Genomic DNA, 21,012 nt, shown 5'->3' on the forward strand with positions numbered 1-21,012 from the left:
CCCACTTCTAGAATAGAAAAGAGGTCAGTGTGGAAAGAGACGATTCTGAAGAGGGCTTCGGTGAGCAGTTATCTCTGGAGAAAGCTGTGCCTGACTAACACCCAGCCCACCTACCAACCCCCGCAACTTTCCCCCAACCCCACCCCATCCCAGACGCAGAGGCAGATGCCAGTCACAGGCATTGCAACAGAAGCACTTGGTCCACGTTTGACCACGCTTACTTCTATAATTATGGCAACTGAGCGTCTTGGACAAATAACCAATAATGGTCTTATCCTCAATTTACTTAGGAAGTTTTTTTTTTTTGGACTTCTATAATTTTTAAGCAAACATCTGAAGATATAGAGCCATTCTTCCTATTCATCATTAATAAATCTTCTAAAATGTCATTATATATACTCAGATTATATATTTTGGCATGTGGTAATTGACGTGTTCTTTGAAATTTTAGAAACTAAACAGTGTTTAGCTTAGTTCCCTAGATTGTTATACTCTAGAACTGTTAAGACTTATAATAACATAAAAATGCCTCATCCTCAGTCTTTATCTGCTCTTTTAAAACAGACTTTAATAAAATGCATCAGTGACTCAACTATCCACATCCATGTGTCATACTTAAAGGGTAGATAACTAAGAAGAGGCTGTTACCAAACAACTTGTATTTTTATACTTAAGAAAATTATAGAGAAAACATAATCTTACAGAAAAATATATAATATAAAGTAATTTAGTGAATTAGTCTCAAATGCAAGAAAATTCACTGTTATTTTTCTTTCTTTAGAAGCCTGGAAAAACAAATTATTTGCTGAACTTAGCACTTCAGTTTTCTCTTATTCAGGGGAGAAAACTCTCTCATATAAAATGTAAAATATCTTAATATTTATTTTTATAACTTAAATTGACTTTTCTTCTCCATCAAATCAAATGCAATGGAGCAGGAGTTCTGTGTTTGTCACCAATCCTTTATTGAAACTGGTAACTTACACACTTTATAATAGAACAACAAAAATAATGTTCAATATATACAGCCTTCGCATGGACTATCTGACTATACACAGGCAGAGTGATAACACAATCTAATCTTCATCATAATCTGTGCACAAAAAGACACCAAACAGACAACATGTGCACATCACAGTGAAATGACATCACAGGTCCAGTGAAAATTCAGCATAATACAAAATGGACTGCTCTATTGCAAATGACATCTTTCTAAATGCCCAGCTCTTACTCAGTAGTAATTTACCCAGAGTCTGAAGCAGAGATTGGTTGTGTGGCTATAAGTCTCTTGAGTGAGACAACCTCTGCAGATAAGTTTGCTATCCCCTGCTTCAAATACAAGTTCTCTGGGTCAGAAACTTTGTAGCCACTGTCTTTCATTTCAACAACTCCAGTTTTGAAACTATTCTGAGTTTTGCCACTCAGTTCTTTTTGATGCCAGTGCTCCGATTTGAGAGACCAATCTTGAATGTTAGTCACTTGCACTGAGAAAGGAGTAAGAGAAGAATGTACCATACTTGGGGCACTATGCTTTTCGAGTTCGAAATGTCTTTTAGATGTCATGTCAATAGGTGAGGAAAGTTTTTGCGTGGCCTCAAATTCATTATCAAAGGCTTCTACTTTGATCTGCATGGCTTTGGCTTTGATCCGGAGCTTGTGTGGCAAGGCAGAGGAATTCACTTCTGGAACTTTAACCACAGTTGCATGCACATGCTTGAGTTCAACTGGAGAATGGATGGGGCCCTTGGGGACCTGTTGCTCGTCTTCTCCATCAGATGACTTTCCTACCACACCATCATCAGTTTCCGACGTTCTCGGGGAGTTGCTGGAGGATCGGTTGACTTGCAGTAGTGGGGGAGAGTGTGAGTACCCAGAGAAAGAATTCCCCATATAGTTTTGATAGATGGACGCTGTGTAAGAGCCTCGGTCATCTCTTGGCTCCCTTGTGTAGCTCTCTAATTCCATCGGCTCTTGCTTGATAATCTGGAACTTGTTTTCAGGACTTCTGCAGCTTCCCTGCACAGAGCTCTCCTGCGTGTGTTCTACTGAGGACACTTCTGAAACATCGGACAGCGAGCTTTGTGGAGAGTGTTTAATGACAGAAATACAACTACTTGACACCATCGAGGGTTCGTGCTCGTCCACAAATGAACTCACATTGGATTTGGAAGTCTGGTAATCTTGAAAGTACACAGCTGTAGAATTACTGAGTTTCTGAATCTCTTGAGCATATGCTGTGGAGCTAATTAAACCAAACTTTAATTTTAGTGAAAGCAGCTCAGCTTTTAAAGTGGCGTTTTCTTCTCCCAGTGCAATTAGTTTGTTCTCTAAAACCAGGTCATTCAGTCGACGCTTCTCACGAGATCTTTTGGCAGCTTCATTATTTTTCCGCCTTTTTTCCCAATACATAGCATCTTTCTTTTCATCAGGAATGAATTCCCGTTTCCTCCGACATGCAGAAGATTTGTTCTTCCCCACACTTCCTTCACTGAGAAGCAGCTCCTCACCTGTTGTGGAGTCTTCTGACACTTCCGTTAAAGCAGAATTAAGGACCATCATCTTGTCCACATTGCTACTGGCATCAAGAGACGCCTGCTCCTTTTTGACGGTCTGCATTTTTCTCAGCTGCATCAGAAACAACCTTACCCTATCTATGTGTGTAGGAGAACAAATTAATTTCCCCGTATTCTCAAGCTCTTTAAAAACTCTGGTTTAAAATCCATCAATATTCTTCCTTTTGTTCTACCGTCTGGGATAAATCCGTCAGGCTCCTTATTGAATGAAGTTGGGCCTCCTTCGTTATCTGCAATACATGAATAAAAAAAAAACCAGTTATTCACTGGATAAATGTTTATTACAAATTATGTACAAGGAAATATGCTAAGCATTTAGGGCATACAAGCACAGATGAGGCATGGCCACAGTTCTTTCTTTCAACAAGTTAGCATTTTCAAAAAGGAAATAAGTTCCCAAATACCTAAACTATAAAGCTGTAAAGGACAAATCCCTAATGAGGCCTATCAGTAAGAGAATATGTGATCCAGGAAAGTGAGGGAAAAATAAAATAACCTCTGCCCAGAGAGAAGTAGAGGAAGGCTGTATTTAATGAGGCGAAATGGAGAAATAGTTGGGTGTGGGCAATTACAGGAAGGAAATGACAGATAGCCTCTGGTTGGTAAGTTTCTAAACAGTACATGCATACCGTGGTGCTTCTAAATAATGTTACCTAATATTTACATCACTGCCAAGCAGATATGCTCACCTCTTAAAAGGGACTTTACCAAGTAAACTTTAACGTGAGTAAAAAAAAAGTTCTGCACTCCTATATGGAATAAAATACAAATGGAGACAAACTTCTTCTACAAAAACTAAAGTAAAAGCCACATTAACAACGGAGCTGTTGGTTTTAATCTACACCTTAACGTGGACATAAACCTGCCCATCACATCCTTGACTGCCTGGTAGGCTTATATCCCAGCAAATTCCACCAGGTGACTCACTGCAACTAAATGAAAAGGATTCTTCTCCATCAAGCCATCTCTTTACAAGCATCTGAGTTTAAGAGATTAGAATTTTTTTTTCTGATTCCTTTGAATTTGTTCTATCAAACATTCAAGATTGAAGTATCCAAAATGCTTTTTGTGATCTTGAAAATTCTGTCAAAATAGATTTCAGGTTTCAGTTACATAGTAGCTTTGAACTAAAAAACAGTTACTAGGCGGGGCACGGTGGCTCACACTTGTAATCCCAGCACTTTGGTAGGCCGAAGCGGGCAGATCACAAGGTCAGGAGATCGAGACCATCCTGGCCAACATGGTGAAACCCCATCTCTACTAAAAAATACAAAAATTAGCTGGGTGTGGTGGTGTGTGCCTGTAATCCCAGCTACTCGGGAGGCTGAGGCAGGAGAATTGCTTGAACCTGGGAGGCAGAGATTGCAGTGAGCTGAGATCACGCCACTGCACTCCAGCCTGGTGACAGAGCAAGACTCTGTCAAAAAAAAAAAAAAAAAAAAAAAAACCCCACACAAAACAAAAAAACACTTACTATTCAAAGGGGGTTTTTAAAAGTATAGTGCATTCTTGAAATGAAATTCTTTTAAACCAAGAGAATATAGTTACAGAAAAAAATTTCTTTCATTTATATGAATTAGTTTCAAGTAAAATATAACAACTCAAAAATAGAATCATTCATTAGTTTCCTCTTCCATTGATGAAATACTTACACTACAAATTTGGCCTGACAGTTGCCTTAGCTCGAGATAATAAAATCCATGTTATGTTCCAGTAGCAATCATTGCATGGGGGCTTTTGAATTTAACTGTGTTTCTAGACACTGATTCTCTGCCTAATGTTCCAGTCAGTAATATTTTTCGTTAAATAGACATGGTACAACAGTTCCATCAGCACGATCTGCACACAGTGGCACTTTATTCTACCCTACTAAAAAGATGTAATGAGCCAGGTGTGGTGGCTCATGCCTGTAATCCCAGCACTTTGGGAGGCCGAGGTGGGCGGATCACCTGAGGTCAGGAGTTCGAGACCAGCCTGGCTAACATGGTGAAACCCCGTCTCTACTAAAAATACAAAAATTAGTCGGGTGTGGTGACAGGCGCCTGTAATCCCAGCTACTCGGGAGGCTGAGGCAGGAGAATCGCTTGAACCCAGGAACCCAGGAGGCGGAGGTTGCAGTGAGCCAAGATCGCGCCATTGCACTCCAGCCTGGGGGACAAGAGCGAGACTTCGTCTCAAAAAAAAAAAAAAAAAAAGATGTAATGTTCTTACATGATGCCACTATCTCCTTCTTACGCCTAGTTTCATAATGACTAATAAAATGAAGTTTACTTTTATCAATTGGAAAAGCCTGCCAGCTTCTTTTGTCTTTTCCAGGGAATGAAAGGAATTATGTAATAATTTCAGGATCATAAAGAATAATGTTTCATGCCAGGTTTTTGCCCATTAAACTGAGCCAACATAGTTAAGGGAACAGCTAGTCGTAACTCAGAGAAATTTGTGATTATTAATATCAAGTTTCTGTTTGTTTTTTGGTAATGAAACTTTAATAGGAAATGAAGGCAAGGAGTGTGTCACAGTCAGCAGTGATGTTGCAGAGAAGGAATCTTCCTATTTATCATTTAAACAATATTATTTCCTTTTTTTTTTTTGATAAGAGTCTCGCTCTGCTGCCCAGGCTAGAGTGCAGTGGTGCAATCTTGGTGCACTGCAGCCTCTGCTTCCCAGGCTCAAGCGACTCTCCTGCCTCAGCCTCCTGAGTAGCTGGGGTTACAGTTACGCGCCACCACGCCCAGCTAATTTTTTTGTATTTTTAGTAGAGACGGGATTTTACCATGTTGGTCAGGCTGGTCTTGAACTCCTGATCTCAGGTGATTTGCCTGCCTCGGACTCCCAAAGTGCTGGGATTACAGGCATGAGCCACCACGCCCGGCCAACAATACTATTTCCTCTAATTTGCATTTAGGTTTTGTCCTCTAATATGAAAACCCAGTTTCCTTTACATATTGAATGGATTCTTTCCTCTGTTGAAGTCTGCACTCTGCCATTCAGCAAAGTCCTCCTGCTAAAGTAAAATGAGTGGAGAAGTAAAGAGGAAGATATCCCAGTTAAAGAAGACAATTGCACTGACCTTTCCCAAGGCACCTTTCAAATCTCCACTATACTCTTGGCCACTACTTTTTTCCACTTTTAGTTTTTAAACATCATATGATCCCTTGCAGACTATTATTCTGGTTATTTTCTCCACCTGAGAATCTTTCTCTTCCATGTGTTATCTTATTTGTTCCTTCTTAAAAAAAAAAATCAGATTCCTTTATTTTGCCTCACTTACTAGATTTACAGTAATGCTTTTGAAATGCCCCGCCATTCTGTCTGCCTTAGTTACTCTTCCTAAACTTCTAGGACCTTTTCAAGGTTGGGGCCCAATTGGGAAGGAGCCTTCACAATAGGTCCTATTTCTATTTAACTGAAATAGCCCCATTTGTCTTAAAATTTCCTTAACTCATGTCTTCTAGGTGTCTAAGTACTATATGACTACTTTATCATCTCTACAACTTTGTTGGTACATTAACCTACAGAAAACTTCATTTGCTTTTTTGTTTTTGAGACAGAGTTTCACTCTTGTTGCCCAGGCTGGAGTGCAATGGTACGATCTTGGCTCACCGCAACCTCTGCCTACAGGGTCCAAGCAATTCTCCTGCCTCAGCCTCCCAAGTAGCTGGGATTACAGGCATGTGCCACTAAGCCCAGCTACTTTTGTATTTTTAGTAGAGATGGGGTTTCTCCATGTTAGTAGAGATGGGGTTTAGTAGAGATGGGGAAACTCCATGGGGTTTCTCCATGGGGAGTTCAGGCTGGTCTTGAACTCCCGACCTCAGGTGATCTGCCTACCTTGGCCTCCCAAAGTGCTGGGATTACAGGCGTGAGCCACCTCGCCAGGCCACCTCATTTGTTTTTAATCATCTTCTTCCTATTTGAATTTCATGGCATGTCACTATAAATCTGTGATTCTGCTCTCATCTGTATGTATTACATTCATGGTCTCTACAACTCAATGGCAAATCACCACACTATCTTAGGATATTTTCTGTAATATTATCTATCAAATAATCTTGCAGTGTTGAAAAGAGTTTATCAGCATTATGGGATGATACGGAGACAGGCACAATCATATACACTGTGTGTGTTTCCACGTGTTTGTCTTTTGTGCCCAACTACACTGCGAATTACTTCAGGGCGGAAATTAAAATATACTTGTCTTCTAGCAAAAACCTGAAGATATTAGGTGCTCAACATTTCATTGACAGTCACCCATATACCTTATATAAGAGAGTTTTGTAAACAGAAAACTTTTTTGATGCTTTCTTTTTAATGTTATGTGAATTGTAAAGAAGATATTTTACTTATTAACAGAGAGATTCTCTTATTCATTAATTTGTTTATTCAACACATATGGAGCACCTACTGTGTACTGGGCACAAGGGGAGACTAGGGGCACATAAAGAGGGAGAGAAAAACCAAACTCCCGAGACCAGGCGCTCAGTCGTGGGTGGGTGGGAGACAAACAGGTGAGCAGAGGGGAACCAGGTGTGAGTGCAGAGTTGCACAAACATGGGCCTGGGGTGCAGGCTTTCTTCTTGTCATGGAGATAATAACAAAAACAATCATAATTGGTGCCATTTATTGAACACTTACCACAGAATGGGCACTGGGAGCCTGACCTGCTTTCTTTCATTCACTTTTGGTGACAATTTTCAGATAAGAAAACTAAGGCTCAGAGAAGTCAAGTGACTTGCCCAGTGTCACATAGCTAAATGGCAGAGCGTACATTCAGGCCCAGTTCCTTTACTCTCTCCTACACTTTCACAGGTGGTTCTGCATCTTTGCAATGCAGTCTCATTTACACACAGTTCTCTTTTGTGTCACTTTCATTTCTGAGTAATACATACCCTTTTACTAAGTTACTTTGGGCGCAGTAAGGCACTATGCTAACTTAACTACTTCTTCTTTTTTTTTTTTTTTCTTTTTGAGAAGGAGTTTTGCTCTTGTTGCCCAGGCTGGAGTGCAATGGCGCGATCTTGGCTCACCACAACTTCCACCTCCTGGGTTCAAGCGATTCTCCTGCCTCAGCCTCCCAAGTAGCTGGGATTACAGGCATGCGCCACCATGCCCAACTAATTTTGTATTTTTAGTAGAGACGGGGTTTCTCCATGTTGGTCAGGCTGGTCTTGAACTCCCGATCTCAGGTGATCCGCCTGCCACAGCCTCCCAAAGTGCTGGGATTACAGGCGTGAGCCGTCACGCCTGGCTCCTTAACTTCTCTTAGATGCTGTCTTAACTTCTTTAGCCAGCAAAGATACTATCTAGAACTTTTCTCCATCCTCCTTAGATGTTTCAGATCTGGCACTATTTATGAATTGAGAAAACATTTTATTAATTTTCATATCTTTACTAAAATTTTAACCTCCTGGCTATTCTAATTATGTTAAATAGAGAAAAAGAAATATGATAGCTGTGGACATTGTCACCTATGATCTTCTTCTTTTTTTTTTTTTTTTAACAAATCCAAGAGTGTAATCTGTTTTCAACATGAGGCGGGGGACAGTGTCTCTCTGACCCTCTCATTTTGCAGATTAATCAGCTAGAAGACAGGCTGACCTTCCCAAGACCACACAGCAGTTGGGCACAGATGGGCTCTGAGCTCTCCTTATGCCCCTCAACAATGAACTTAAAGCAAATGCAAAAGTAGTTTACGATGCCTTCAAAAAGCCTCAGGATTTATGCTAACCTAACAAATTTATTTCAAGCCTCAATATTTTCCCTTATGATTAATTTAACAATTACTTCATCTATGCATCATCTTTTCAAATCAACATCTAATGTTGTGGTATATTAGTCATTGCTTAAGTTTCTTTTTTGGTGAATAATTGACACTACATGCCAATTCTATGATGTTAGTGTATTCAGCACGATTAACTTCATTACACACATTAGATGATATGACTCTCCTTGAAAACACAAATAAAAAAGAGAAATTTAAGAGCAGGTATTATTACCTACCAGTTGACATATTTTTCCATACATACTCCGAAGGTGCCATCACTAATTAATGCTTTTGTATAGTCCATCACACTACTTCTCTAAGCAAGAATTATATAGCAAGAATTATATTTCATAAGCCCAGATTTTTAAAGTTTAAGTCAGATTACCCTATTGTTTTTAATTAAGTACAAGATTTGATTTAGAAAATTCTATAAAAGAATATAACCTCATAACAATAATTCTAGACCAAATTTATCCTTGAGGAGTTATCTCATTAGTTATGTTTATGATAGACCTTTATCTTCCCTGGTCTCTCCCAGAACTAATGTTTAACAATCCAAGCTCCACAAAAGAAAAGAATAAACATGCTTTGTTTCAATCATCTGAAATCTTACTAATAGTCTAAACATTAAAATCTACTCTGAGAACATTTTGTTATTAATTATCTATAAAGGGTAAGTTTTATTGCAAATTGCAATATATATTTTGTTTTTAAAATTCTGTCAATAGAAGATGAAATACTATTTGATATGCCCAATGATTTGGAAACATTATAGAATTATCTTATTTTCCCTCTACTCTCTGAATGTATTGTTTTCTCCCTGTTATATAATACAGATAACAGTAAAGGAAAAAAAAATGTCTTCAAGGTAAACCTAAGTTATGTTAAACTGTAAGCCACCTCTCCAGTAAGACAGCAGATGCTTATTTTTTAGATAAATGTCATTTTCATGAAAAAATCAAATCAATTAATCAATTCACATCTCTTTATACTTTTAAAGTATGAATACTAGCAATATGTTAACCCTACATTTTCTTCCTGTGGGTAAAATTCACAGTATCTGCGTCAATGAAATGCTTTACTTCTTTTCATGGATGAGAAAACAATCTAGTATTTAAAAGCAGAGATGAAATAAGAAAAGAATTCACTATACATGTACAACCCAGAGGAAATGGGGAGTGAAAAAACTCAGTCAGAAAACACCGAAGTTGCAAGAGAATTTTCTAATCCCGTTGAAAAAGAGAAGGATTTTTAAGCTGAGAAAACTATGTTAAACCTCTCTAAGGGCCATTCTGTCCCCAAGAAGCAGCTTACCCCAAAGTTAGAGAGAAATGTGCACTTGATCAAGACAGGCAAGACGCACACACACACATACACACACACTCTCGCACACTGCCAGAATCTATTCTATCATAGCAACAAATTGACCTACTTTTTCTATTTGGGTGCCTCTGTAAATAAATGTGTCAAAGCCTGATCCAGTTTATGATAAATGAAAATATTTCAAGTTCGACAAAGGACTAGCTGAAAATTAAATTTAAATTTAATAAATACGATGACAACATTGCATTTTATTACATCACTGATGTAATTTAAGTAATTGAAATATGAAATAGTATAACTTAACATTCTTCTTTAAGAGGTCGTCAGTGTTTGAAACTTAATACACAATTAAATTATTCTGAAGCCTGCACAGAGTAAGCACATACACGCTAGCACGACCAATTAACTGCACAGCTTGAGAAATAAGAACAGCTCTCACTAAAGATGGGTAGTAACATGGGGGAAAAACAGAACAGTAATAATTTTTTAAAAATCTATAGAAACTTAAATGTGGGGACTATTAATATCTTGAAACTTCTGAAAAGATAACTGATCAGTGTAGCAACTAATCTGAAATCTTAAAAGGACACCAACAATCACAAAGTAACCCAGTTGTAGAAAATTCCCCAATGAATAAGTAATACATGCAACATGGTGTAATGATGGCAAAAATGGTGGGCTAAGGGGACAGTCAGGCTGAGAAAATTCTTGAAAGTTTCTAATGATAATGTAGAATCATCCCAACTTGCTTCACTTGGCTTTTTAATTTCTTTTTCCACTTTTCCAGTCAGTGGATGATTATAAATGTCATTTTCTACCTTATGAATAGAGTGGATTTTCAAATGCTTATTTGTAGTGTTTATTTGAAGGCCAGTTAATTACAGTTTAAGACCCCTAAAAAGCTAATTAATAAAAGACATCATGTTCTGATAACTAAAAGGCTTATAAACATCATTCTGAGTCCTATGAAACTGAGTCCTCAAAGCACAGATTAATAACAAATGGCATCTAGCAAATCTCTAGTAAACTTTCTTATCATAAAAACAAGTTTATGCTCTATTATTAAAGCCATATGAGAAACAGTTTTGGGTGTTTTTTTTTTTTTTAACTACAGTAAAGTTACTTACAAAGAAATGTGAAAGATAACTGGGGTAGTAGTAATAAAAATTCATTTTGAAACTGAAAAATTCATATTGTAATGTCTGTGATCAAAGGTCAACGTCTTTCAACATTCTCATACAAGTCCAACCTGGATAGAAATCAACTCAAATATAATTTAGAAAAATAACAGGATATCAAACAATGTATTAAACCCCGTGAAATACAGGCATACCTTACAAAAACAAGAAATGAATATTAAAGGCAATTTCAATTACATTGTTTCTGTTATATTTTGAATTGAATCCCAAGTGTGCTCTCATTCCTCAATACAAATTAAAAATAAACAACTTTAACAGCATCAATGGCATCTGGATTACAATGGAAATCATGAAGTATATGAGTTTAACCTGGGTAAAAATAAAGCCCAGGCAATATGACTGCACCTTTTCCATTCCATGCTGCAATCGCATTTACATCTCGAAATTGACTCTAATGACCAAGGCAAGGTCAACTAGAAAAATCCACTCAGCTGGTGAGTCAGGCACATTGCTCAACGTCCGAAAGGCCTCTCACAAAGGGTTTTAATTTTCAGGCTGTTGCATCACAGTGATGTTATAACTGCACTGCACAAAAATAAGTCTTTAACCCAGAAAAGGAAATTGTTTCAAAAACTACAGTGAGTGTGAGAATACACTTTGTTGAGGTGCAAATTTCCCCATCTGGTTTTCAGGCTCTGCGACCTGGGCTGCAAATTCATTTCTCTGAGTTTCCATTTCCTCATCTATGAAATGTGGATGATAACAGAGCCCCTCAACACTGTGCCTGGCACATGCAGAGTATGTGTTTAGTAAATACTAACTCTTTATCTCTTTTCTGAAGAATGATCAGTATCAAAAGGCAACGATGCCTATCAGTTCCAGGCTGTTTTTGCTGCTCGTGACTCTTACTGAAGCCCTGACCTATGTCGCAAGTGTAAGGGTAAACCAAATGAAAATTTGGTCAAAAGGGTCAAATATCAACAGTTTCACAGGACTGGCCTTAGTTTTCAGGCTACATATACCCCCTACAAGAGAGCTTATCTGTGGGGTCTCACCATCCACTGCTGATCTCAGACCACAAAGTTTTAGATAGAGAAATCATCCAAGCTACAGAAAATGAGTCACAGAATGTGTAAGGGAATTGGAAAAAGCTGAGCTATTAATATGGCAATTGTCACGTCATTCCTGCTACTATAATCGACTCATCTCTCTATTCCTTCAAGCAGCTCCCCAAAACATTAACCCAATGACTTGGGAAGTTTGAGGTTCTGCAATCCTGTCAGGAATTCCCCTCAAACTGAAATTAACATTGAACACGATGGCAAATTAAAAAATATATATATTATTAGAACAAAAAAAGTATCTCAAGAAAGATCTTACAGACTTAATTCCAACACGAATCCTTACTGTTACTGCGAAGAGATTTACAAAGAGAAAAATGAAGGTAAATACACACACACACACACACACACACACACACACACACACAGATTCTGGTTCCTGATCAATAACACAGGAAACATTTATTGAACTCCTCACAACCAACTAAGTCAACAGGTTTTATTCCCTCAGTTTACCCTGGAGAGTGATGGAAATCAGGACAGTGTTGGAAGATAACAAGCTGGGGCCTGGGACCCAGGGTTCTTGTGAGCCCAGGGCCTGCGCTCTTAGGATCTGTACCTCACCGAAACCTGTTCTCTAACTACTGCCTGTAACAGGAGGGAAACTGATTAGGGATAGCGGTGTAGGGTATGATGCCAAAGAAAGCAAGTTTTCGGTCAGTTTTCAACAAAGAGCAGATTGCGTTGATATGCTTCAGGAGAACATCTGTGATGTCTCCATGAATTACTGCATGGGTACAATCTTGGAAGTCTTTATGCGAGGATGAAAGTACTGTAGTTTTACAGTAGGACAGCAGCGTCTATGTGGGCGTTTAGATTTTATTTTGAACTCTGGAGATCAGTGTTCTCTCTCCTCTAGCCTTTGACCACATAAATTAAAGGTTAAAAAAAATCGGCTCAACTCAACTGGCCAAAGTCAAGCTGAGGCCTTCCTTTTAATCACTATCAATACTGGAGCGCCTCCACCCCCAATTTCTGTGGCCGGTGGACGTTTGGAGGTTTTTCTTAAGGTCTTTTTCACTTCAAGAATGGAGACGCGCTTGGTTCCGAAATACAATGAAGACTCTTGGAACAAAGGTGTCTGCAGGTTTCTGAACCTCACCGCAGAACAGGCGCGGAGTCAGGCCCCTGGATTTGCCCTGTTGGAAGGAGGGCCGCGGAGACGCAGGCGCTCCGGGTCGCCCGCGCTGCCCCTGTCTGCCCCGTGCGGGAGCCGGGGTCCCTGGCTCCCTGGCTCCCTGGCTCCCGCGGCCCGGGCGAACCCAGAGCGCACCCGTACGCCGGCCCCGGCCGGTCCCTAGCGCCCGGGCTCCACGGGCCGCGCCCCCACGCGGCGCCTCCCAGAGACCCTCCTCCCTCCGGGTGGGCGGCGCAGCGGGGCCTCGGCGCCGCGAGGACCCCCCGCGCCAGAACAAAGGAATGTGGGGAGGGGGCAGGGAGGAGCTCAGGCCACTGAGCAGCCCCAGTATAACTGCCGTTCGGAGGCGCTTCTCGGTCCCGACCCGAGGTCCCCGCCCGCCACTACCAGACCCGCCCCCAGCCCCGGATTCTCGCAGACCCCACCGGCCCGCAGGAGGGAGCGGCGCACTGGGGGCCGCACGGACTCGCCATTGGAGATCGCGATCGGAAGGTGGCGCCACGCGGCCCCTACAGGCCTGGGACTCCCACCCGAGCTCGCAAAGTAGGTCGGGGTCTGAAGCTGGGGGCCTAGAGCAACTAGCTTCTTGGAAAGCGACTGCAATTATTTGGGGTAATATACTCTGTTCCAGAGACGTCCACCCCCCACCTCCCACAAAAAAAAACCCTGCACTTAATTTAAATGTTACGTTATATATACATCCCATCATATACATATATTCACACATAATCACTATGTAACAGTCCAGGAAGAAATTTAATATTTGGGTAAATTACATATTCACACATCTTCACATAAGTAAAACCAGGGTATCCAGACAAAAAAACAATCTACTAACCTATATCTGTTTCCCATAGGTCATATCTGGTCTGGGGGTAAATAAATACTTCTGACCTCACTTACTGTTGTTATTTACAAAAGCCAAGAACAGAAGATGACACTTGGCCATTCCCTGCTGTTCTCAGAGAACAGCAGTTTCCTAAAGTGTCCTTTAAAAACATAAATGGGAGCCAGCATCCAGCAAATCACCGGGCGCTGCGAAATGCCTTCCTAAAAATACAATCTTATCAAAGGTCTCCGAAGGCGTGGAGTTAAAACTACAGCAAATGGCCTTGAACTTGTATTTGCACACAGCCCTGGAGAAAACACCAGAAATAGCACTGCGAGGCCACAATTGTTAAAATGTGATAGGGCTAAATTTAGAAGAACGTGCGTTTCATTTAGGGCAAAAGACACACATTCGGCAGCATGAGCAAACTCCATGCTTACCCGGTTGTCTACTTTCCTGTTTAAAATATCCTTAAGGAAAAAAAAAAAACTGTTATAGTGACATTCTTAAAGGCTGAGACTGTCCTACTTTCTTTGTAGCAAGATTATAAAATCACGTAATTAGCTCCCTCTCTCTATGCTCACTGCCAGCAAATTCGGCAGTTACATAATGCAACATTTCCAGGAAACTATTATGTGATTTGTCTTGTCGTGTCTGAAAAAGCAATGACAATAAGGTGAGAAAAAGGGCTGATCGAATGGAATGCATTAAAATTAGGAAGGTGGGGAGGTAAACGTCACAATGGTTCGTCCCAGATTTAAAAATAACAGCTGAGAACATTGAAAGGGCGAACCCCAGTAGTACCCAAGATCAGAATTCAATGCGAGCAATTCTTGCTTTTAGGTTTTGTAGTATCGTTTTAAAACCTGTTTATTTGGGACGTAATATAGACGTAAATAACGATCTAATATCCAACGCTGCGCCTCAATTACCAAATCATTGCACACATACGCGCATATTCCCACATCAGCCCGCAATTCTTGCCAACATTTCACCGTGGGCAGATTATGCAATGTATGAAAGGACAAATCCCACAACCTTCCCGAGGGCTTGTAAAACACGCTGACGACAAACAGGGTGGAAAACGTCTGTGCAGACACAGCCCCTGACACAAACAAACGCCGCGCAGGCATTCTCCGAATGCCGTCACCGTTCACGCTACCAACCCTTTTTCTCACCAAGCAAATTAAGACTATTCCCCATTCCTCAACCCCCCATTCCTCTCCCCCCTACGCCGCCAGCCCCAGAGAAGGAACGAGAAAGAAAGACACTAGAGAGGAAAGAGCATCTTCCCGCTCGGAGAGGGCTCAGCCTGCCTGGCGCTCTTCTTTACCAAAACATCAATTTTCCTGAAATCAGGAGACATTATGCAACAGCAGCGGGGGGAGAGCGCAAACCAGCCAGGACTACGTGCCGGCGCGAAGGCGCTGCAATCAAAGCAGCCACCTTAAGGTGGCGAGTCCCATCCTGACAAGGCAGCAAAAGTTTATGTAATGAATGCCCCGCGCGCACTCGCCGCCGCTGGCGAGCCCAGCTTACAGCCCGACCCCGCACACAGCGCGGCCCGCACCCCGCGCCCGCCCGCCCGCCCGCAGCGCGCCCTGGGAGCGGTCGCCGGGCCCCCGGCCGGCGGTGGGCGGAGCGCTTACCGTGTTCCTGCTCTCGGGCCGGCGAGGAGAAAGAAAGGGGCGGCCGGGAGTCGGGCCGCCGGCGCTCGGGGCTCGGGCCGGGCCGGGCCTCCGGGGCCGCGGCGGGAGGCGGGCGGCGGCGAGGGCGCGGCGCGGGAGGCGGGCGGGCGCGCCGGGTCCGCGGGCGCCGTGGCCGCGCGGAGAGATGTGTGTTAGTAGGTCAGTTCCGAGCGCCGCGCTACGTCGCCGCCCGCCAGCCCCGCGTGACTGGCGGCCGCGGCCCCAATCGCCGCGCCCGCACCCGCCCCCGGCCCGCCGCCAATGGCCGCGGCCGGCAGGGGCGGGCCGGGGCGGGCACTCCGCGGCCCCGCCCCGCCTCCCCGCCCTCAGCTCCCCCTCCGCGGCGGCGCCACTACCAGCTCGCGTCCCTCCCCGGCCAGGGCCACCGCCGTCCGAGCGCCCGCGAGGGCTGGCGCCCCATTCCCGGCGCAACGAGTGTTGCGCAACGGCCCACGCGGCCGACACGACCGGAGCGAGCCTGCGGAGGAGCCCGGGAGCCCCCCGTCCCACCGCCCCGTCCGCTCTTGGCTCCCTTCACCCTCCCGGTCGCCGCGGTGGCTCTGCGCTCCCCGCGACCCTCACTTGCTCGCAGAGGCGCTTTTTGTCTTCCTGAGAGCCGCAGCCTGCTGGGCTACCTGTTGCCGACTGAGCACTGCGGGTTGCGGCTACCCGGGCGTGGCCCGGACCTCGGCCTCCCCTTCCCCGCACACTCCCGAGAGGAGCCCTCTACCTTGGGGTGGGCAGGAGGGAAGGCGGGGGGTGGCGGCTGGCAAGCTGCCAACACTCGGGGCGCGCTGCGGCGGGGAAGGGGTTGGCGCGGCCGGGCAGCTGCGCAGGGCTGCGCGGCGGAGGCAGCGATTAAAATGTCCCGGCGCCTCTCCCGAGAGCCGCGACGGCCCGGAGCCGGGAGGGAAAGCTCCACGCACAAACACCGCCCCCTGCACAATTAGGGCGAAGATGACGGCTGCAAAGTTGTTGCGTAACACGACTGGGAAACGAGGCTCGCTGAGGTCCATCTACCCACCCCCGCCACGCGGGTGCGGCGTTCCTCGGAGGATGTGAAGGTCCGCGCTCGGGTGCCCCCGCTGGGACGCCCACTGTCGTTTGGTGCTGGGGCTTGAGACGACCGCGCGGGATCTCTTCCTGTGATTTTGAGCTGATAGCTGCTTAGTGTTATTTCTGCGTCTAACTGGATACGGTAGTCTTCTCTCCCAAATTCCCGGGCTACGGAAGAGACGTAAAAAAATGGAAAAAAGAGCACCTAGCCGCGACTTCTTAAGTCGTCGCGCTAGACTGTCAAGGCACGTGGCACACTCCCTGCGTTTACCGATACACGGATAGTGGTCAGTGCTGGCCTTGGCGAAGGGAGCCATGTTCCCGACAGTGACTCACAGGCTTGCCCAAATACGGAGTGTGGCAGGTGGGCAGGACCTCCACCAGCCAGCTCCCTCCTGGTCTCCTTGAACTACGTGGGGGCTGGGCCGAGTGCCTCCACGACTTTCCACTTCTTTTTGCTCCTTTCGTTTTTAAAAAGCAAAAACCAAAGTAAAGAGAAGAGCAGAGTGAACACCCAGGTACCATCCCTAGTGTCTGCCATGAGCAGCAGATCTATCTACTCGCCAAGATTGTCTTTTCTACCTTTCCCCTTCTTGCACAGTTAATATCATAATAACGCAAGTCATATTTAAAAAATTTTTATCACCTATCAGTTGAGTTTTTGGAAAGCCTTCCAGGGCAGCGTTGTGGTTTTGAACGCACTCTTGTTCGTGATTTATCTGGTAGTACAGCTCTGCTGACAAGGCTCTGAAAACTCAGACGTACAATATGGGCTTAGCGTGTTCCCCGACACCATCTTCCCGGTGCTGACTAATGCAAGAACCACATCCCCTCCACTACACATTTTCCAAACTTGACTACCTTCATGAGAACAAATCCTGATTTTAGTTTATAATTTCCACTTTTCTCATACATATATAATAATTCAAGATGTGGTCTTACTATGTTGTCCAGGTTGGCCTGGAACTCCTGGGCTCAAAGGATCCTCCGGCCACAGCCTCCCTGGTAGTGGAATTACAGGCGCATGCCACTGTGCCTGGCCACTTTTCTCAAATTTACTGATAGTTTCCTTTTTGCCCAAACCTTACAATGCTTATTTGTAGCTTTGAGAACCTCTCTTAGATGAAATCAAAATCATATCCATATTAGTTGCCTTTTTGGGGTCAGAAATGCAGCTATTGTCTAGAAATCCAGGGCTGTCCTGCATAATCTACCCTCCCCTTCACGTGTTCTGACCTTGTTCTGCATTTTGAATAATTTCATGGAATTTCAAAGCCGTTGTAGTAAATGTCTTTCTTTAAAGACAACTCGACCTTCAAGACAGGTAAAGAACGTGCCTGGAGCCACCCCAGGCAGTGATGCTGGAGGAGTTCTCTCAACCTGGAAACTTATTCTTTATGCTGAATTTTGAAATCGAATGCTCCTATATTTACTTGGAGTATTTTAGATTGTGTATGTATTATATCTGTGCATCATTCATTGTTACCATCTAACTTGGAAATCAGAGGAAGTGTGAAAGGTATCTGAGATACCAGCTTAGAAAACAACTCTTTAGCTCCTCCTGGTGATTAGGACACCACTAAACAACAGGATGAAGGATCTGTCCCCAGGGCCGAAGTGATGATGTATCTAATATTATATCCTAGAACATTCACAGAGTAGGTAAGTATTTGCAGATTAACTCGAGTAAATGGAGCATAAAAACCTAAGATATTTGAAACAAATTAACCAGGGTGGGGAGGCTTCTAGGAAGACATCAGCATGTGCCTGATGGTGGAGCTGGGCTGTAAGGTTCTCAGGAGGAGGAGGAAGGGGTTCTTGCTCTCAGCAACCTCTCAGTGCTAGGGGTGGATTGAGGGCAGGGGCAAGGGAGGAGGTGCCTGGACAGGGATGAGAACTACCAGCAGAAGACAATCAACCACATTCTAATTCATTTTATTATACTGCCAACATGGTTTCTGACTAAGCAAATATAAGAGCTATAGCTTGAGAACAGAATGACTAAAACAGTGACTTCTCCTTACTAAAATGGGAATTAATAGGAATTTGTAATTTAGTAACAACTTAATTTAATATAGTAATAATTTTTCTACAGCTGCAGAATGTCTTGAGCTGGAACATCCCCAAGAGGCCATATATATATCCCAGGGATTTTACAGTGGACCTCACTAGGCCGGAGTAACTGTAAAGTCAGATGGATAATGAGAATTCAGGACGTTAGCCACACGTGGACTGTGGCAAAAAGAAAGTGACCCACTGAAGAAGACTGTTTTTCAGCTCTCTCATCAATTGCTGTTTCCAGGAGCCCACAGCTCCAATTACTCAAAAGAACGTTGACTTTTTTTTTTTTGGTAAAATATCCTGATTTTCAGGTTAGGCAAGCAATTCATTAAAAAATAAAAGACTGCACAGCCCACAGCTCCAATTATTCAAAAGAAAGTTGACTTTCTTTTTTTTGGTAAAATATCCTGATTTTCAGTTTAGGCAAGCAATTCATTAAAAAATAAAAGACTGCAGGACTTACCTACCCAGAGGCTGGACAGTCTGAGTCCTCTGAGTTCTACAGAGATGTCCTGGGAACAGGGGGTGGAGACGGGGGACTCAGTGGCTAAAAAGCAGGCTGCCTACCTGGCAACCAAATTGGGCAGCTCTACCCTATCTGTTTTGTGCATTGGACTTATGGATTTCTTTGTAGAAAAAACTTCGATAACTAAAAGCCCTTTGGTGACCTCCTGTCTGGTCTGGTGGCCGGCAGCCTGCATCAGGGCTCCTGTGTGCCAGGACCATTTTCTTTCCACTGTAGTATGTTTATGGACCACCTTGTGTCTTTTTATTAAACTCCAGGAACAGAAGTTCAGTTTCTGGGAATCCATAGCATACCGTTTTTGTTGTTGTTGTTGTTGTTGTTGTTGTTTTTGTTTTTGAGACAGGGTCTTGCTCTCTTGCCCACACTGGAGGGCAGTGGAGTGATCACGGCTCACTGCAGCCTTGACCCCCCCAGGCTCAAGCAAACCTCCAACCTCAGCCTTCCAAGTAGCTGGGATTACAGGTGCACACTACCATGCCTGGCTAATTTTTTAATTTTTTTTTTGTTAGAGTCAGTGTCTCTCTATGTTGCCCAGGCTGGTCTCAAACTCCTGGGCTCAAGCAATCCTCCCACCTTGGCCTCCCAAAGTGCTGGAATTACAGGTGTGAGTCACAGCACCAGACCTGTTTTGTTTTCAAGTGGAGGCTTTAAGATGTGAGCTAGCATGGTAGCCTTAGTGAGGTTCTCCTCCCCACGCCCATCAGTGTGTGCTTTTTGCTGGGATTTTGGCTTTGATGCAATGAGTCATTGACTGTTGAGGCAGAAACTTCCTGGAATGATATTTCTTTCCACCACTCATGCACTTTTATTTCTGCTATTCATGCCATTTTTAATCTTTCACCTCTGTCTTCCTCTTCCGCTTTGCCTTTTCTTGTAGTTTTTCTACCTTTGTTGACCTTTTTTCTTTTTAAATTTAGTTATCTTGATTTACTCTATTATTCTTAGTTTTTTCCTTTGGCCTTTCTCCAGTCATTCAGATCATTACTTCCTGGGATTCCTTCATTCCCCCAAACATCCACTTTTCTCTTTGCTCTTGCCACCTACCTATCCCAGCCACAACCTAGACGTTATAGTTTTTAAGATTTCAACTGTCTTCCAGCCTCTGCCTCTCGGTCCCCTAACTTTGCCATGTGGCTCCATTAGCAGGAGTTCTATTAGCATGCTTGGCCTTCTTTTTCAAAAACTAGCTTTTGTGGGAAATTGGGTAATAGAAGATGGTCACATAACATTCCCTGTAGAAGCGATGGCTTTAAAGTATGGGAAGCCAAAATGTTTCCTATTAAGCAGCTCTTGCTCAAGCTAAGAAAGAAATTAGATCTCTACACCAACGACATGATTTCCCCAGACAAAATCAGCTGATGGTCTGAATACATTTGAAAGCATTTCCAAAGGACCCAGGAAAAGACCAGAAAGAGGTGATTTTGCAAAGAAGAGAAAATGTTGCAAGTACACTATTACAAAAACTGAAACATGTCTTTAAATTCAGCCACCACAGATGGCACACATTTCAGTAAGCATTTTTATTCATTCAGATTAAATGGTATATGTGAGTAAGAGTGCCAAAATAAGGGACATTAACAAAAAAAGGTGGGTAGGAAAAAGGAGAATACACTAAAAATGGTCAAGACTGTGGGAGCAGCTAATCGTGTTCATTGCAAAATCTTGGCGATGGAGCAAGCATTGTGGCAGCACTCAGCCAGCAACTGGAACACAGCTAGCAGGGCTATGAGTATATGAAATAGAAAATTGTGAAATATGTTCTAACAAAAATCATTTCATGAAGAATAAGACAAG

General features: G+C 43.2%; 1 protein-coding gene and 2 long non-coding RNA genes across 12 annotated transcripts in view, besides 2 other annotated features; 2 read left to right on the plus strand and 1 right to left on the minus strand.

Annotated features, from left to right (window-relative positions):
- Nucleotides 1-941: 941 nt before the first annotated feature.
- NFIL3 (nuclear factor, interleukin 3 regulated) overlaps nucleotides 942-21,012 on the minus strand; it is a 74,453-nt gene continuing 54,382 nt past the window's right edge. The window contains exons 1-2 of one of the 10 annotated variants that reach the window (XM_017014743.2): nucleotides 16,600-16,957; nucleotides 942-2,803 (exon numbers count right to left, since the gene is read on the minus strand). In XM_017014743.2, coding sequence (XP_016870232.1) covers nucleotides 1,243-2,631 — 1,389 coding nt within the window. In that variant the 5' untranslated portion in view covers nucleotides 2,632-2,803; nucleotides 16,600-16,957 and the 3' untranslated portion in view covers nucleotides 942-1,242. Of the gene's footprint in view, nucleotides 2,804-2,899; nucleotides 3,078-7,462; nucleotides 11,253-13,896; nucleotides 14,326-15,536; nucleotides 15,730-16,157; nucleotides 16,524-16,599; nucleotides 16,958-21,012 lie in introns of those variants that run through there. The other 9 variants (NM_001290000.2, NM_001289999.2, XM_047423426.1 and 6 more) reach the window with 9 other exon arrangements.
- On the plus strand, nucleotides 13,519-13,956 carry LOC124902209 (uncharacterized). The gene is made up of 2 exons (XR_007061661.1): nucleotides 13,519-13,601; nucleotides 13,916-13,956. It is a non-coding gene; the product is annotated as an uncharacterized LOC124902209 (long non-coding RNA).
- Nucleotides 15,667-16,066: a silencer, noted in NCBI's record as "silent region_20026". NCBI's record gives its function as "represses an Ori minimal core promoter by ATAC-STARR-seq in GM12878 lymphoblastoid cells {active_cell/tissue: GM12878}" and the evidence as "EXISTENCE:reporter gene assay evidence [ECO:0000049][PMID:35858748]".
- LOC105376146 (synapsin-1) lies at nucleotides 15,930-19,507 on the plus strand. The gene is made up of 2 exons (NR_188612.1): nucleotides 15,930-18,293; nucleotides 18,727-19,507. It is a non-coding gene; the product is annotated as a synapsin-1 (long non-coding RNA).
- Nucleotides 18,377-18,573: a silencer, noted in NCBI's record as "fragment chr9:94188762-94188958 (GRCh37/hg19 assembly coordinates)". NCBI's record gives its function as "represses an EF-1alpha promoter that drives an FKBP-Casp9 reporter gene in an ReSE screen in HepG2 liver carcinoma cells {active_cell/tissue: HepG2}" and the evidence as "EXISTENCE:reporter gene assay evidence [ECO:0000049][PMID:32094911]".

This window comes from Homo sapiens, chromosome 9 (genome assembly GCF_000001405.40).
Source record: "Homo sapiens chromosome 9, GRCh38.p14 Primary Assembly".
Classification (NCBI taxonomy): Eukaryota; Metazoa; Chordata; class Mammalia; order Primates; family Hominidae; genus Homo; species Homo sapiens.